Consider the following 16,354-nt stretch of genomic DNA (forward strand, 5'->3'; position numbering starts at 1 on the left):
TTAAAGTAACAGGCATTTCCACCAATGTGTGTTTTGTGAAGAGGGAAAAGTTCTTCTATCTGCTTGATAACTGCTTTTTTATTGATTAATTGATTCCTCCTCGTGTCACTAAAGTGCTTTCTGGAGTCAGATTTACAGAGCTTGAGCTCTGGGGCCTTGCAGGGTATAGATTATGGGTGGGAAAGGGCCAGCCAGGGTACACATTCTTCTCAGCCATCTCCACCATTCGCCTCTCCCTTGGCTTGTAGGATGTGGCTAGATGTGGCACCTGTCTCCTTACAGGGGCTGCTAAACTTGGCACTGGAGAATACCACTACTCCTGGCCAAAGGTGACTCCCCAAACGGAAGCAAGATTCCGTCCTCAATGACCACACCATCCAGTGCTTATCAAACTGCAATGTGCAGGTGAATCACCTGGGGAGCTTGCTCTGATCCATGGGTCACAGGTGGAGCCTGAGACTCTGCATTTCTAAGAAACTTCCAAGTGATGCCCAAGATGCTGGTCCATGGACCACCCAAGGCACTGAGAGGTGAAGAGACATTGCTCTGGTTGTTCTGCAGAAACAGTGAACACTTCAGGGTGGGGGAGACCAGAAAAGGCATTACCCCAGTAGTTGCACCTCAAAAGATAGGTGAGGTTTTGGAGAGGAGAGGCAGAGGTGGCTCTAAAGGAAGGAGGCGGCAACTACTGGGAAGGCCCAGGGAGAAAACGTTGTGTTCAGAGGCTGGCGAACACAGCAGCGCAGTTGGAGAGGAGGTAGGTACAACTGCGGAACAGAGGGCTGGAAAGATAGGCTGGGAGCAGCCAGTGCAGGGCTCTGAATGTGGGGCTAAGAAGCTTGGCTTTCATCCTGTAGGAGTGAAATCTGACATGATTTAGATGTAATGCTTTACAGAGATCAATCTGAGACTGAGTGCAGAATCAGAAAGAAGCCTGACAGCAGGAAGAGCAGCCAGGAGGCTGCTACATCCATGCAGGAAGAAGGGCTGCACTGCTTTAGAAAGTGAGGTGCGAAGAGGAAACGGGGCCAGGAGTCGTGGGTGTGGTTAGGGGATTGCCTAGAGTGAGTGAGGGGACAAAGTAGGGAAAAGGGAAAAAATGAAATCCAAGGTGATTTACAGGAAGGATGGGGGTGAGAGGTGCCATCAGCAGAGCTTGAGGTCCTAGCGGAAAAAGCCTGGCTTAAGGAGAAGATGAATTCCCAGTTTAGTCCCGATGGGTCTGAGATAATGCTGCAACTCCCACATTCAGGTGTTGGCCAGGTAAGCTGATTCACGAGCGCTCAGGAGAGCAAGGTGAGTAGGCAGGATTTGGGTGTGTTCTCCAAAGAAAAAATGGGGTGTGGAAAGGAAGGAGAATGCCCAGAAGAGAGCAGAGAGTGAGGAAAGATTGAGAGGTAGTACCCACAGTTAGAGGTAGGAGGAAGATGGAGCCAACTGAAGGAGGGAGAGTCCATGGTGAAGAGTAGGAGAGGAACTCACAGAAGATGCCATGAATATACAGATGGCCAAGCTGGAAGGCCTACAACACCCTGATATTGAGACCGAGAAGAGGCCTGCCCAGCTCAGGATGCAGGAGGGAGGCTAGGGCGGCACCCTGACTCCCTTTCTAAGGCACAGGAGAAGCCCAGGCCTGAAAGGAGCACAGCTGGAATGGAAAGCAGAATTTGGACTGAAAGAAAAGGGGGCTGGATGCATTGGGGAGGGTTTGGGCTGTGGCGGGAGCCCGGGGCTCTGAAGCACTTATTCCAGCTCAATCCTAGTACAGGAAGGACAATTTCCACACATGCAACTACACACACACTTACATGTCCACATGGCTGGGGAACTCCCAGGGCAGAGCAGAGGCGACTGGGAAAAGGTCTTTGGATCAAAGCCTTATTACCGGTGAGCACATAATTTATCATCCACCTGGGACCCTTGTGAGAATGAGCAGGGACAATACTCACAATCACACTGGACCGCAGATGAAAATGAGGACTGTGCCAGGCAAACCCAGTCGTATAGTCACCCTAGCTGGTGGATACTGGATCCCAATAAGATACACATTTGGTTCCTCTGCTCCCCCTTCCTAGATGCGGGATAGCAGAAGGGAAAGGCAGGCTCATCCTGAGAGGCAGGGGCCCCAACAAAGGGTGTTGGTGGATGGGACAATCTCTCCCCCTCCCACACCCTCGCTGGGGGAGACACGGCAGTACCACGGACAGCGGCTGGCGACTCGCTCCCAGTCCCTCCCCCGCCTGCCCTCCCATCTCCTCCCCTCCCCTTCCCGCCCCTCCCCCTCCCCGCCCCTCCCCCGCGCCGCTGACGAGGCCGGATCAATATTTCATGGGGGGAAGGGGCTCCAGTTACCAGCCCCGCACCAAGCCGGAAGGCGCCGCCCGCGCCTGCTGCCCACCCTGGGGACCCTCCTCAGAAACCCAGCACAGGCTCGGCCCCAGGCCAGACAGACACCGCCCAAAGAGGTGCACGCATTCCCTGCAACCTCTCCACCCCCGGACCCTTTCAGGGCACAAAGACCCGCACGCAAGCCATACACCTCCGGTTGGCCACTCCGACGCGCCACAGAGCGAGATGCACGCTGTACAAAGAAGATGACGTACACAAAACAACAGGCACACACCACACCCAGCAGGCAATCCACCTAGACAGGCACTCACAGAGCACACACATGCACACAAAAACACACCTTGTGCACCACAGACTCACATGGCATGGAGATGCAGCTACCACAGACTCACACACATCACACAGACCCACAACACACCCTGCCACACACACACAAACTCGCACGCTGCAGAAAAACTCCCTCGCAGAGAACTGCAGACATATCGCATGAAGATACATTCACCACAGACACACACACACACAGTGCACACACAATATGCCCTCAGAGACCCTCAGACATATCTGTGAGTTACCTAGCTACATTTGCCAGGGACATACACACACACTTAAACTCTCTCATACATACACACACACATTATGCCTTCACAGAGATCCTCAAACATTCACCATGGACACACAAGCACACACCCCACACTCTACCCAGGCCCTCCATCCTCCTGGTGCCCAGGCCACCCTTCCCACTGTGAACATGGGACTAGGGAGGGGGCAGACAGGACTTCCCTCCCTCCTTGCCATCTGCCTTCTCTACTTTGGCCCTGCTCATGGGCCCTGAGGATAAATCCACTGTGTCCTCCGAGGCCCCCTGGGGTCTGCTGCGAGGTCCCAGGGACAAGCAGTCAGCACAAAGCGGTGGACAAAGCGGGGAGTAGGGGAAGAGGGACCTATGAGACTCCGAAGCCTTCTGCTTCACTGTCCCTGAGCCCCAAGCTCTGGGACATGAAGCCCCAGGGGCAGCCTTGCCCTTACCTGTGGCTCCCAAAGCTTCACTGCTCCCTAGGCCTCCCTGAGGCCTGTGTTATACATAGGAAGCAGAAGAACTGTAGGGTATGCAGCCCCTACTCCCCCCAGGAGGTCTCAAGTCCTGGCCTCAGAGATGAGGGGGCATCCTACCACATCCAGACACCTTATCTCCATGAGCCCCCCTCCCAAGCAGGTTGTGAAAACAATGGCACAAATTCTCCTGTCTGCAGGGAAATCATGGCAGGATCCTCCAAAAGAAGCCCAAGCCAGGGTTCAAGGTGAGCAGAAGAGAGCAGGCCAGCGCAGCAGGGGGAGACCCCTAGATTTGTTGGGCAGGTGGAAGGGACCTTCAAAATTATCTAGGTCAACAGTGCACATTTCCGACATCCCCATACCACTTCCCAATTTTGCATTAAGTGCATAACACTGTGTGTCACCTCAATGATTTCTGCCAAATCTACAGACTCCTAGGCTGGGCACGGTGGCTCACGCCTGTAATCCCAATACTTTGGGAGTCTCAGGCAGGCAGATCACTTGAGGTCAGGAGTTCAAGGCCAGCCTGGCCGATATGGTCAAACCCCGTCTGGATGGTCAAACTAAAAATACAAAAATTAGCCGGGCATGGTGGCACGCACCTGTAATCCCAGCTACTTGGGAGGCTGAGATAGGAGAATCGCTTGAACCCAGGAGGCAGAAGCTGCAGTGAACTAAGATCGTGCCACTGCACTCCAGCCTGGGCGACAGAGACTCCGTCTCAAAAAACAAACAAACAAACAAAACAAATCTACAGACTCTTGTACTGTTTATTACTTATTTTCTTTAAATTGACACTCTGGCTAGGGGCAGTGGCTCACACCCATAGTCCCAGCTATTTGGGAGGCTGAGGTGGGAGGATCACTTGAGTCCAGGAGGTCAAGGCTGAGGTGAGCCAAGAACAGGCCTCTACACTCCAGCCTGAGCGACAGAGTGAGATCTAGTCTCGATAAATAAACAAACAGATAAAAATAAATTGACACTTTTAACTTTAATGCAACTATTTTCAATAGAAACCATGTTATTACTATAAATGGAAAGCCAGTATCACTTTTAATAAATAGAAAATGACAATAAAACAAACACAGTAAAAACAGTTATGATATTATGTTTTAGCTATATGGAGTTGCCAGGCAATGTTCTGAGCCTAGCCTGAGAGCTCTCTGTTAAAAAGGGAGGGCAACCAGTGTTGGAAAGTTGTTAAAGACACATTAGAGGCCGGGCGCGGTGGCTCACGCCTGTAATCCTAGCACTTTGGGAGGCCAAGGCAGGTGGATCAACTGAGGTCGGGAGTTCATGAACAGCCTGACCAACATGGAGAAACTCCGTCTCCACTAAATATACAAAATTAGCCGGGCGTGGTGGTGCATGCCTGTAATCCCAGCTACTCGGGAAGCTGTGGCAGGAGAATCTCTTGAACCCAGGAGGCAGAGGTTGTGGTGAGCTGAGATTGCGCCATTGCACTCCAGCCTGGGCAACAAGAGCGAAACTCCGTCTCAAAAAAAAAAAAAAAAAAAGACACACTAGAAACTACACTGACATGTTCTCCCTTGGACAATCTTGGACTTGATATCGTTGAGAGGGAACCAACTTTCTCACTACGTGAGCTAATGTTAAGAAATGGCACTGAAAGTCATCCCTGGTCCCACTCCACATATTGGGAAGCTCTAGGCTTGTCCACCTCTTGCAGGAGTTCGGGCACAGTGCCCCGCTAGTGCCCTGTTGCTACAGCCTATTCTGGTAATAACAATCTTTTAGAAATTCCTTGGTCCTTTCCTATTCACAAATTGTCATAACGGCCACCATCTAATATGAGCCTCAGAGCAGGAATTATCTTCCCCGTTTCTGAATGAGAAATGTGAGGCTCAGAAAGGATGAGACGTGTCCATAGTCACAGAGCTAGCTACACAGGGGAGATCCACACGTCAGAGACTTGACGTCCACCCAGACACCTTTTCTACTCTACCTGCATCCATCTGTTCCACAGTTGGCAGCCCTTGCTGGGCAGTGGGGAAAGAGGCAGGATGGTAACCTGCTATCTGCCCGTGAGACCTTCACAATCCCAAACAGCAAGCAGACAAATCAGCAAATCACCGAGATTAAGAGAGGTGAAGAGCTTTAAAATCTAGCCTGTAAATGCCTAAACTGCAGTTTCCTTGTCTGTAAAATGAGATGACAGACTGGGTGTCGTGAATCACACCTGTAATCCCAGCACTTTCAGAGGCCAAGATGGGAGGATTGCTTGAGCCCAGGAGTTGGAGACCAATCTGGGCAACAGGGTGAAACCCTGTCTCTACAAAAAAATACAAAACTGAGCTGGGCATGGTGGCATGAGCCTGTGGTCCTAGCTACCAGGGAGGCTGAGGTGGGAGGATTACCTGAGCCCAGGAGTTCAAAGCTGCAGTGAGCCGTGACCCAGCCATTGCACTCCAGCCTGGGTGACAGAATGTGACAATGTCTCAAAAAAAAAAAAAAAAAAAAAAAATTAGCCAGGCATGGTGGTGTGCACCTGTAGTCCCAACTTCTTGGGAGGATCATTTGAGCCTAGGAAGTTGAGACTGCAGTGAGCTGTGTTCAAGTCACTGCACTCCAGCCTGGGCAACAAAGTGAGACCTTGTCTCTAAAATAAAATAAAATTTATATGTTTTAAAAAAATAAAATAAAATGGGAATAATAATAGTACCCATCTTATAGAAGTGAAGATTAAATGAAATGTGTGAACACAATGTCTGGCACAGAGTAAGTGCTTAAAAAAAATGTTTATTACCAGGGAAGCACAAAGAACAGAATCAATACAGGTCAAGAATGAGTGACAGGGGGAAGGTGAGGTAGACATGGTTTGGTTTTTCACTGATGAAAAGAGTTACATCTTGGAGGATGAAGATTTTCGTGGGGAAAAACTCTTCTGCCTGTTCCTGGCTTCCTCTTCCCTCTCTCCTCACTCCAAAGCAAGGTGAGAAAATTCAGGCTTTCTTCTCCCTCTCTCTCCTCAGGCCTCTGAATGACATTTGACAGGTTCTTCAGAGCCTGTCCTGAGCACTGCTGCCCAGGAAAAGACTCTCCTTTAAGTCACAATTCCAGGCCTTTTTTCTCCAGCTGCTGTCCAGATGGAAGTTTGGGGCTCAGGCCCAACTGCCTGCACCCACATCGGCACTCTAAGAATTCCAGGAGATGTGTTTGGAAGCTAACGAAGATCCCCCTTCTCTGAGCGGGGCACTGAGAACCCTGTTTGCATGTCTCTTTGATCCTTCCCAGTAGGCTACAGATGACTGGACCAGGGTGGGCACCTGCCTCACTCTGAGCCAATCAGATCCTCTCCTGGGAGTTTGGGATTGGATCTGCCAAGCCCCAAGTTCTCTCTCTCCATGTGGCTGAAACCAAGGGACACAATACAGGAACTATAGGTGGCTTGGTGCCTGAAAAGGCAGAGATATCCAGTCTGTGGATACAGAAAGGCAGGGTGCAGAGAATGGCTGCTTCAAGTTCCCTTGGCCCTCCAGGTCCCGCCTTCCTGAAGCTAATGGTTTTCCTTCCCCTTAGTTCCAGGGAATCCCTTCTGTCCTTGTAATAAGCCCTTCTTTATTACTGAAGCTGGTTTGAGTGGGTTTCTGTATATAAGCAAAGACCTAATTAAGACAAGAGAGAAGCTGGGAGCCGGAGGTACGCAGATGAACAATCCTGAAAAAATAATCACTGTGCCTACGTCGGAGAAGCCCAGTGCAGTGGGAGACAGCGAGTAAGAGATGTAGACTTTGCACAGATGTGGCAGAGGGAGGGTGGGCTAACTCTGCCTGGGGAGGAGCGGAAGGGCTCCACAGGCTTCACAGCGAAGGTAGCAGCTGAGCCGATTTTGAAGAATTAAGGACATTCTCCATGGAGACAAAGTAGGGGTGGGGAGGCATTACAAGCAAAGGGAACAGCAAGTGCAGATGCACAGAGACCCAAAACAGCCTGGTGTCTTAGAGGGACTGGAGTTCAAAGTGTGGCGGGGAAGCAGGGAAGACAGGCAGTCAGGCGCACATCATAAAGGGCTTTGAATACCATGATAAGAAGCCGAGGCCTTTTCCTGTCAGTGACAGGGAGCTATTGAAGTATTTTAAGTAGCAGGGGGTGACGGGGTCAGTTCTGTGTTTTAGAAAGATTGTTCTGGGGCTGCTTGGAGAAAGGGCTGGAAAAGGCAGGCCTGGAGGCAAGGACCAGTTAGGAGGCTGCAGCACTCCTCATCTAGTCCCTTCATTCATCTAACAGCTCACTGTGTACCTACTATGTGCCGGGGTGAGGCAAAACGGATTCCTGAGCCCACAGAGTTCACAGCCTAGCATGAAATAGACATGAGGGAAAAGCGATTTGAGTGTGCTGAATGTTATGAAGAAGTACAAGGTCCTCTGGAGCAGGGTGCTGTTTACTGTCTGGTTTTTAGGCTTCCCTGCGGAAATGACGTTCGAGCTGGTATCTATCTGAAGGATAAGTAGGAGTTAGCAGGGCCCCAAGAGGGGGCGTGCATTCCAGGATTGGGGACAACACGTGTGGAAGTCCTGCAGCTGAGGGAGAGTGGCAGAAGAAGACACAAAAAGGTAGGCAAGGACCAGATCCCACAGGGCCTCGGAGACTGCGTCAGTGCATCTGGCTTTCATTCCAAGAAGGCTTGGAAGGGTCCTAAGCAGGGAAATGACACAATCCAACGTTTATCCTAAGAAGACCATGAAAGAAAGCGGGGCAAGAACAAATGTCAGGAGACCAGGTAGGAAGCTGTCACAGTGGCCCAGGTGAGAGCCAATGGTGGCCTGGAGGGGGTGGTGGGCAGCGAGAGGGTCCACGGACTCAAGGCAGAGATTCAGGAGGACTAACAGGGCTTGCTGAGGACTGGTTATAGGGGTGTGGGACGGGAAGAGGGGCGTATCCAGGAGAACTTTCAGCTTTCTAGCTTGACCAGGTGGGAGGACGGCGATGCCAGAGATGAACCGGGGACCTTAAAGGCAGAGCAGGTGCAGGTGGGAGAGTCAGGAGCTGGGTCTGGACCTGAACTGAAGCTGATTGTGAGACATCTAAGTGTGGGCCAGGAAGCAGTCACACCTGCAGATTGTTGGGGCTTCTTTTTTTTTTTTTTTTTGAGACAGGGTCTCGCTTTGTCACCCAAGCTGGAGTGCAGTGGCATGAACATGGCTCACTATAGCTTCAACTTCTCAGGCTCAAGCGATCCTCCCACCTCAGCCCCCCAAGCAGCTGGGAATACAGGCAAGCGCCACCATGCCCAGCTAATTTTTGTATTTTTTTTGTAGAGATGGGGTTTCGCCATGTTGCCCAGGCTGGTCTTGAACTCCTGGGCTCAAGTGATCCGCCTGCCCCAGCCTCTCAAAATGCTGGGATTACCAGCACTTTGAGGAGGTGTGAGCCACCGCACCCAGCCAGACCTGCAGATCTTCAACCCAGAAGAGATCATTAAAATCAAGAGAAGTAAACGAGATTACCCGGGAGGTAGGGAGGGAGGGGGCAAAAAGGTGGGAAGAGGGGTTGGGGCAACTTGAGGAGCCATGGTAGCAGCAGGACCTAGGGGCAGAGTGACAAGGGGCTCTGAGCTTGGCAAATCAGGACCATGAAATGCAAAGGTTACCTTCTCTCAACCCCAGAAGGCACCAGGATTTGGCTCCCCATCTCCTGGCCAAGCATCATGCCCTTAGCCTGGACACTTCCCAGGTGAGAGAGTCCTCCCTTCTCCACTGCACTTCTTCCTCTTGGGCAAACTCCAAGTTATCCTCCAAACCCAGGGCAGGTGGTCGCTCCTCCTAGGTGGAGACTTCCCTGGTGTAAGCATTGCTCTGCAGTTGGACAACCTGGTTTTGAATCCCAGCTCTGCCACTTGATAGCTGTGCGACTTTGGCTAGGTCACCTCAGTTTCCTCATCTATACCACAGAGATGATAATAGTACCTACCTCATAGGACTGTTTAAAGATGAGCATGTAAAGCGATGGGCAGAGAACTAGCACACAGTAAGCACTAAATAAGTGTTATTCTTATTAACATCCCACCCACCTTGGGACAGTTAGTAATGCCCTCCACCTCATCCTTGGGAACCATTTGCAGATCCATGTCTCTCCCTGCCTCTTCCTACCCCTACCCGATTTGTGGGGCTATATAATATGCAGAGCCCAGTGCTAAATGAAAATGCAGGACCCCTTGTTCAAAGTTACTAAAAATTTTAAGACGGTGTCAGCAGAACATTAAGTGTGGGGTCCTTCTAGGCGCAGGGCCCTGCGTGACCACTGACTCTTGAAACCAGCCCTGCTCCCACCCCCAGCCAGCCCTGGGCCCGGCCCAGAGTTGATGTCAGCCCCCACACAACAGAGTAAAAATGCCAACTGACATCCAGATAGGGTTTATGGTTTCCATGTGGAATTTCACTTTATCGTTTTCCTAGAGATATCATCAACTCCATTTTATAGTTGAGGACACAGAAGTTCAGAGACGGGTATGCCTTCCCAGAGATTACCCAGCTCAGGAACTGCAGAGCTGGGATGTGGGCACAGAGCAGCCTGGTGCAAAACCCTGCCTCTTGCCCTCTGGCTCCCCAGGGAGGTTGGGAGAACCTGGCCCCAAGGGCTGAGCTTTGTCAACAAGGCCACGATACAGCTTAGACCAGAGAGAAGGAGCTGGAGGGACTGGGACTGGCTGTCCTCCCTCCTGGGGCCAGCCACATAAACAACCGGTTCCCTGGGACCGAGGCTGCTGCACAGGGAAAAGGGTAGGAGAGGGCAAAAAGTCACTCCCAAGAAGGCTCTGCCTGAGGGCCATAGACCCTAACATTCTGGGGAAATCTGATCTTGCCTTTTCTGCTTAAAACCCTTTAGGGGTTGCCATTGGCCTGAGGATAAATTCCCAAGTCTTTAGTATCCTGCTAGACTAGGAAATCGGGCCAGGCTGTCCTGGGCCTGCCCACACTGCCCTCCCTCTACCACGCCAAGCCTGTTCTCACCATCAACAGGGCCTCAGACACACAGTTCCCCTTCCTCATCCCTTCTTCGCCTCTACAATTCCTTGGCACCCTTCATGACTCAGCTAAGATGTCGCCACCTCCAGGAACCTTTCCCAGATTACAGACTGCAGGAGAGCAACTTCAGTGATAGGTTCCAGAGCCCAAGTCCCTCCTTTCTACACACATGCCATGTGTAATTACCTGCTCTGGGTCATGTCCCCACTAGAATGTCACCTCCGTGAGGGCAGGGGCCGCCTGGCTCATAGAGTCTGATACATCAGAGGTACCTGGTGGACTGAATGCATCCTTCTGCCACAGAGGCAAGAGGGCCAGGCATTCTTTCTCCTTTTTTCTTCACTCCTCCCGGACCCTCCTTTTCTTGTCCAGGCTTCTTGAGCTCAAGCTATGAAAAGCCCAAACTTGCAAAGGGAAGAGAACCATCATACAGTATGCACCCTCCCCCTGCCAGCTCTAGACTAGGTACTATACATCTGGTTACTACAGTTAATTCCCTAACCACATTCCAGATGGGGTGGAGAAGTATGGGTATAAATTATTCCTATTTTCCAGAGGAGACTGAGACTTGGTAGTTGAGGCCACCTGCCTGAAGTGGTAACAGGTTGGAAGCGGAAGGCATTAGATTTGAATCCTGTCTGTCTGATGCCCAAGTGCCTGGTCTCTTCTCTGCCCCAAACCACACAACCCCTGTGACTCACCATTCCCAGCAAGCTCACCTCCAACCAGAGAGCACTTGTTTCTAACCTCCGCCTTCAGTTCACACACACCCCAGCTGGTAAAGCTCTTCTGTGAGGTCAGTGATATACCAGTGTAGGAGACAGCCCCACTGTCAGTGAGGACAGTGTAGAAGTCACTCCTCCCCTGGGTCAACAAAATGCCAGTGTGGGAGAAACACCCCCATCGTCAGCAAAATGCCAGTACAGGAGACGCACCCTGCACCCCAAGTCAGCAGATTGCTAACAGGAGAGACAGTGCCACAGTCAGCAAAAGGCCAATGTGAGAGACACTTCCCTCCTCTTCTGGGGCCCATGACATTGACTGGGGGGTACACACAGAGACCTCTCCAAGGTGGTGCCCCTGGAGTGGGAGGAGGCACTGAGGCAGCTGTTGCCTGGGGGAGAAGGTTGTGGCTGGGGAGTGGGGCAGGTGAGAGTTCTCACATGGCACTAATGAAATCAACCACCAGCCTGCTCCCCCCTCCCCAGGGACCCTCCAGGCTCCAGCTGATGCAATGCCCAGGCCAGATAATTGTTTTCTTCCCTCCTTAAAGGGCCAGCTGCTACTGCAGCTGCAGACATCACCCAGACCCCTGACAGACCCCACAGAGCTCAGCACCTGGGCAGGAAGTTGGGAAGCCCAGAGAGTAGCAGCTTTAGGCCTGGGTTCTGCGCAGTAAAATCCAATTAAAGTCCAGAGACCAGAAGCGTCGTTGAGCAAGGAGGGAGGGAGAGAGAATAGTTAAGACAGTGACACAGACCACATGCCCTGGGAGAAGGGACCGTGGTCCCTGCTGGGTCCTCAGCACCTGGCTCCTGCACGCCCGCCCAGCAAGTACTTGGCACAGGGGTTGCTCATGAGTTCAGCAGTTAGCTGCTGAGCCCTCCTGAGTGCCAGGCACTGTGCTGCGCAGCTCAAATCCACCATTTCACTCACTCCTTCCTGCTACCCACATAGCAGCTGGGTTTGTTTTACTGAAAGAGTCTCAGAGAGGGGAAGTGATTTCCTCAATATCACACAGCCAGAAAGTGGCAGAGCTTGGGTTTGAAGCCAAGTTTAACCAACTCTGGGCTTCATACCCTGCAAAGGGTCGGATAAGTGTAGAACCCCAGGGCTGGAAGTCCCTAAGCAAGGCAGTCAGGAACAGAAGGCAGGGAAGGGGTCTGTGGGCCCTAAACAAACAACAAAGGGCATGGTGCTTGGTTTAAGCACAGGGCACATGGGTCACCTCCCCAGCACATCCCTGCCAACCCACCCACCCCGCCTCCCAACCAAGAATGCCCCATTAGGCTACCCACATGCCCCCAGGGACAGTTGGCAGCTGCCTGATTACAGACTAATTGGTGGCTGGCAGCAACTATGGTGGGGTGGGGGAGATGGCTCATTAACCCCTTGTTGACCAGGCCCAATCCTCCTCCCATGACTTCAGGCCCCAAACCCAAGGAACCCAGACTTAAGAAGTCATCATGGATAGAGGACAGGACCAAAGGAGCAGCAGCCTTCTTCCCTACATCCTGATAACACCCCTGGGGCTAGGGTTGGACACATATTCACCCAGGTGTCCAAGCCCTGAAGGACCACATTGAAACAGGCCCCAAGTGGCAGTGCCAGCCAATGCCCCCTGTTCTCCAGCCTTGATATGCCATTGCCCACCCCATTCCAGGATCCTTCCTGAGCCTTCAGGACCAGGACACTGAAGAAACCCACTCCTCAGGGCTGAGTTGTCCAGAGGTGATGGGGACATGGAGTCCAGGTACCCAGGCGGCCAGTCAGGGAAGAGCTCCTCCCTATGAATGAGAGCATGCCCAAGTTGCCCATCAAGGGTCCTGCCAAGCCTCCCTGAACCCTGGGCTCTGCACCATGCTGCTGACCAACTGCATTCCCAGCTTCCCAAAGCCCCCTCTTCCCACCCCAGGGCTGGAGTAAGCAGCACTCCTTTTCTTTTATGGGGTGGAGGGGGTCCTCTGGACACCACAACGGTGTCACGTTGAGGAAAAAGTGGCTGCTTCTCAACCAGGGCACAGGCAGAAGGGAGAAAAGCAGGCTGCCTTCCAGCTCCCTTTCCAGGAGGGATTTTAAGCACTTTCCAAAAATGCCATGCCAGGCAATGCTGTTGAAGACCAGGGCCCCAGGAGCTCTGAGCATCAGCAAAGAACTCAAGACTCTGGGCCCCCTTCCCCATTTTCCAGGCTTCCCCAAACACCCCACGTCCCTCTCTCATCCCTTAGTCCCCTCCCCAGAGCCCTCTCACACCCTGTGTTCATCCCCCCACCCCCGCCCCTGCACACTCACATACCTACGTTGCGCTTCATGGCCAGAGCCCCCCTCCCCCCGTGGTCCTCCAGACCTCTGCAGCCCCCTCCCCACGTCCACTCCCAGGCGAGCAAGGCCTGCTGACTTACCCGGAGGTGGGGCCGGGGTCCAGACAGGGAGGGGGCCTCCACAGGCCGAGGCGGCTCCGCAAGGCGGGGCAGGTGCTGCCCCGGGACCCCGCCCCGCGAACCCGGCAGTAGGCGCGGCCCGGCCCCAGGCTGGCGCGGACTCCGAGTGGATAGGCACGCGGGGCGGGGAGGGGCGGCGAGGGAGGCTCACGGGGGCATCGCCCGCCACCACGGGGGCAGCTCCGCTCCGCCCGCCTGCGCTGCCGGCTCCGCAGCAGCCACCGTTTTCAGTCGCCGCCGGGTGCAAAGCCCAAGCTTGGGCCGGCGGGAGGCGAAGGGGAGGCGGGGCCTGCCGGGGGCGGGGCCGCGTGGATGGGCGGGGCCAGTGGGCCGGACCTTGGTGGTGGGCGGGGCCTAGGGGAATCCGGGGAGTTTGGCTTGCCGGGTTGTGGTTGGGGGACCTACATTAATGAGGCTTCCAAGAAGCGGGGTCTGGGGAAGCCTCATTCCTCTCCGTGTCCCTAGGACTCTCTTGCCTCCTGCCCGGCCTCCCCTCTCCACCACCTACCCTATCTGTTCTTTCTCATCCTTCCTTTTCTTTGGGGCACCTCCCAGGACCTCACAGGCACCACGGCGCCCCCTGCCCTGCCCTGCCCTGAAGCAGTTCCAGGAACGTCAGATGGTAAGAGAAGAAACGACTTACAAACGTCAAGTCCATTTTACAGATGGAAAATCTGAAGCTCAGATAGGAGAAAAGACTTGCCCAAGTGCCTGGTATGAAGAGAAAGACTTTATAATGTCCCTTTCAGACAGAAGGAAGTAGAGTGGCCGGCCCTGAAGCCCAAGTTAACCTGCTTCCCCTGCGCTCTCTACTTCTAGAGCAATGGTTTTAAACTTGGGGCGATTTTGCCCCCCAGGGAACATTCGACCATGTCTGGAGACATTTTTGGTTTTCCCAACGAGGAGGTTGCTACTGGCGTCTCATGAGAAGAGACCAGGGATGCTGCTACACGCCTTCAATGCACAGGACAGCCCCTGCGCCAGAGAATTGTCAGGCCCGAAATGTCAGCAGGTTTCTGAGGTTGAGAAACTCTGTTCTAGGGCCTGGCATCTGCCTATATAAACTTCCAAATAGACTCCTGGAGTCCTGGGTTCTTCTGCAGCCCGGGAGGATACTGTATGAAGTCTTTCCTAGGGTCGTGCCTGCCCCAACTTGTATATTTAACCTTGCTTAGGACTGGTCAGTTCCACTCTTGGGCTCCAGTGTTTTGAATTCCACCCACTGACAGAGAGGACAGAATAATTAATATTTGCTGGAGGCATGTAAAACCAGTAGTCTCCCTGCTGAGGGCATGAATTAAAATGTAAATGGGAGCTGGGTGCGGTGGCTCATGCCTGTACCAGTGTTTTGGGAGGCCAAGGTGGGTGGATTGCTTGAGGCTGGGAGTTCGAGATCAACCTGGCCAACATGGTGAAACCCCATCTCTACTAAAAATACAAAAATTAGCCAGGTGTGGTGGCACACAACTATAGTCCCAGCTACTCGGGAGGCTGAGGTACGAGAATCACTTGAACCCAGGAGGCGGAGGTTGCAGTGAGCCGAGGTCGCACCACTGCACTCCAGCCTGAGTGACAGGGGGAACTCTGTCTCAAAAAAAAGTAAATGGGGAGTGGGAAGGTGGGGAGAAAAAGGAAAATTATTGGGATTAAAGGATCCTCCTGGGGATTGCTAGGAGGCATAGTCATCCTACGCCTTCCCTTCTCACCTGGTCTGTGAGAAGCATAAACTGAGGCCCTACAATGTGAAAAGCCTCAAAGTGCGTTCCATAGCTGGTCAGAGGTGGAGCTGGGGCTCCTGATTATATTTACATATTAATTAAAGCTTTGTTATCAGCTATTCTACCTCAGGCCTAGGCCTGGACTAGGGCCTGGGTGGTAGAATGGGTTACTCTGGAGCAGCAAGGGGGACTAGATTAGGGGAGGTGGGATGGAGGCCAGGGCAGGACCTGGAACGAGGGTGGAGGTGAGGGGTGGGAGCACAGAGAGGAATCAGGCTTCCTGTGTGCTCCTCCCTGGCCCCTTTCACAGAGACAGGTAAACCAGGGGTTCCCTTTGCACATCTGATGAAAACTTAGCACTATCTCTCTGGAGATGTGCAATGTATATTTTGCATATAATTTCAGTATCTTCAAAGTTCTATATTGGTTACCAGAAGGACTGGATGGGAGGTGGGTGGAGAGGGGGTTGATTCTTAAGTGTATATAGAAGAATAAACATACAGGAATAAAAAGTCCAGGAAGAAAAGTAATGAAAAGGGATTTGTCTTACCCGATACTAAAACATACTATAAAGTCAATGTATTTAAAGCAGTATGGTATTGAAGCAGGACTAGACCGATCTGTGGAACAAAATGGAGTATGGAAATGGATCCAGCCCCACAAGGGAATTCAATGTATGATAAAGATAGCACTTCAGGCCCGGCACAGTGGCTCATGCCAGTAATCCCAAAACTTTGGGAGGTTGAGGCGGGCAGATCACTTGAGACTAGCCTGGGCAACATGGCAAAACTTTGTCTCTATAAAAAAATACAAAACTTGTGGCCGGGGGCGGTGGCTCACACCTGTAATCCCAGCACTTTGGGAGGCCGAGGCAGGCGGATCACAAGATCAAGAGATTGAGACCATCCTAGCCAACATGGTGAAACCCTGTCTCAACTAAAAATACAAAAATTAGCTGGGTGTGGTGGCATGCACCTGTAGTCCCAACTACTTGGGAGACTGAGGCAGGAGAATCGCTTGAACCCAGGAGGCGGAGGTTGCAGTGAACTGAGATCGCACCACTGCACTCCAGCCTGGTAACAGAGCA

The 16,354-nt window shown here is 52.6% G+C and overlaps 1 protein-coding gene and 1 long non-coding RNA gene across 6 annotated transcripts in view, besides 2 other annotated features; one reads left to right on the forward strand and one right to left on the reverse strand.

Annotated features, from left to right (window-relative positions):
• The window catches only part of RIMS3 (regulating synaptic membrane exocytosis 3), a 71,387-nt gene that overhangs the window by 31,204 nt on the left and 23,829 nt on the right, over positions 1-16,354 (reverse strand). Inside the window, exon 1 of one of the 3 annotated variants that reach the window (NM_014747.3) lies at positions 13,511-13,799. The exons of the other annotated variants lie outside the window; for them this stretch is intronic. The gene's annotated coding sequence lies outside the window, so the exon portion shown is untranslated. Of the gene's footprint in view, positions 1-13,510; positions 13,800-16,354 lie in introns of those variants that run through there. 3 annotated transcript variants of the gene reach the window in all.
• LOC105378675 (uncharacterized) lies at positions 6,150-15,793 on the forward strand. 3 transcript variants are annotated; one of them, XR_947238.3, is made up of 2 exons: positions 6,150-8,168; positions 14,105-15,793. It is a non-coding gene; the product is annotated as an uncharacterized LOC105378675 (long non-coding RNA). The 3 variants fall into 3 exon arrangements; XR_947237.3 differs by having other exon boundaries at positions 6,150-8,143; XR_007066023.1 differs by having other exon boundaries at positions 6,150-7,976.
• Positions 11,410-12,067: an enhancer, noted in NCBI's record as "H3K27ac-H3K4me1 hESC enhancer chr1:41128965-41129622 (GRCh37/hg19 assembly coordinates)". NCBI's record gives its function as "activates a minimal SCP1, AML or CMV promoter by ChIP-STARR-seq in naive H9 embryonic stem cells {active_cell/tissue: H9 hESC(naive)}" and the evidence as "EXISTENCE:reporter gene assay evidence [ECO:0000049][PMID:30033119]".
• Positions 13,515-13,944: a silencer, noted in NCBI's record as "silent region_731". NCBI's record gives its function as "represses an Ori minimal core promoter by ATAC-STARR-seq in GM12878 lymphoblastoid cells {active_cell/tissue: GM12878}" and the evidence as "EXISTENCE:reporter gene assay evidence [ECO:0000049][PMID:35858748]".

Source organism: Homo sapiens, chromosome 1, assembly GCF_000001405.40.
Source record: "Homo sapiens chromosome 1, GRCh38.p14 Primary Assembly".
NCBI lineage: Eukaryota > Metazoa > Chordata > Mammalia > Primates > Hominidae > Homo > Homo sapiens.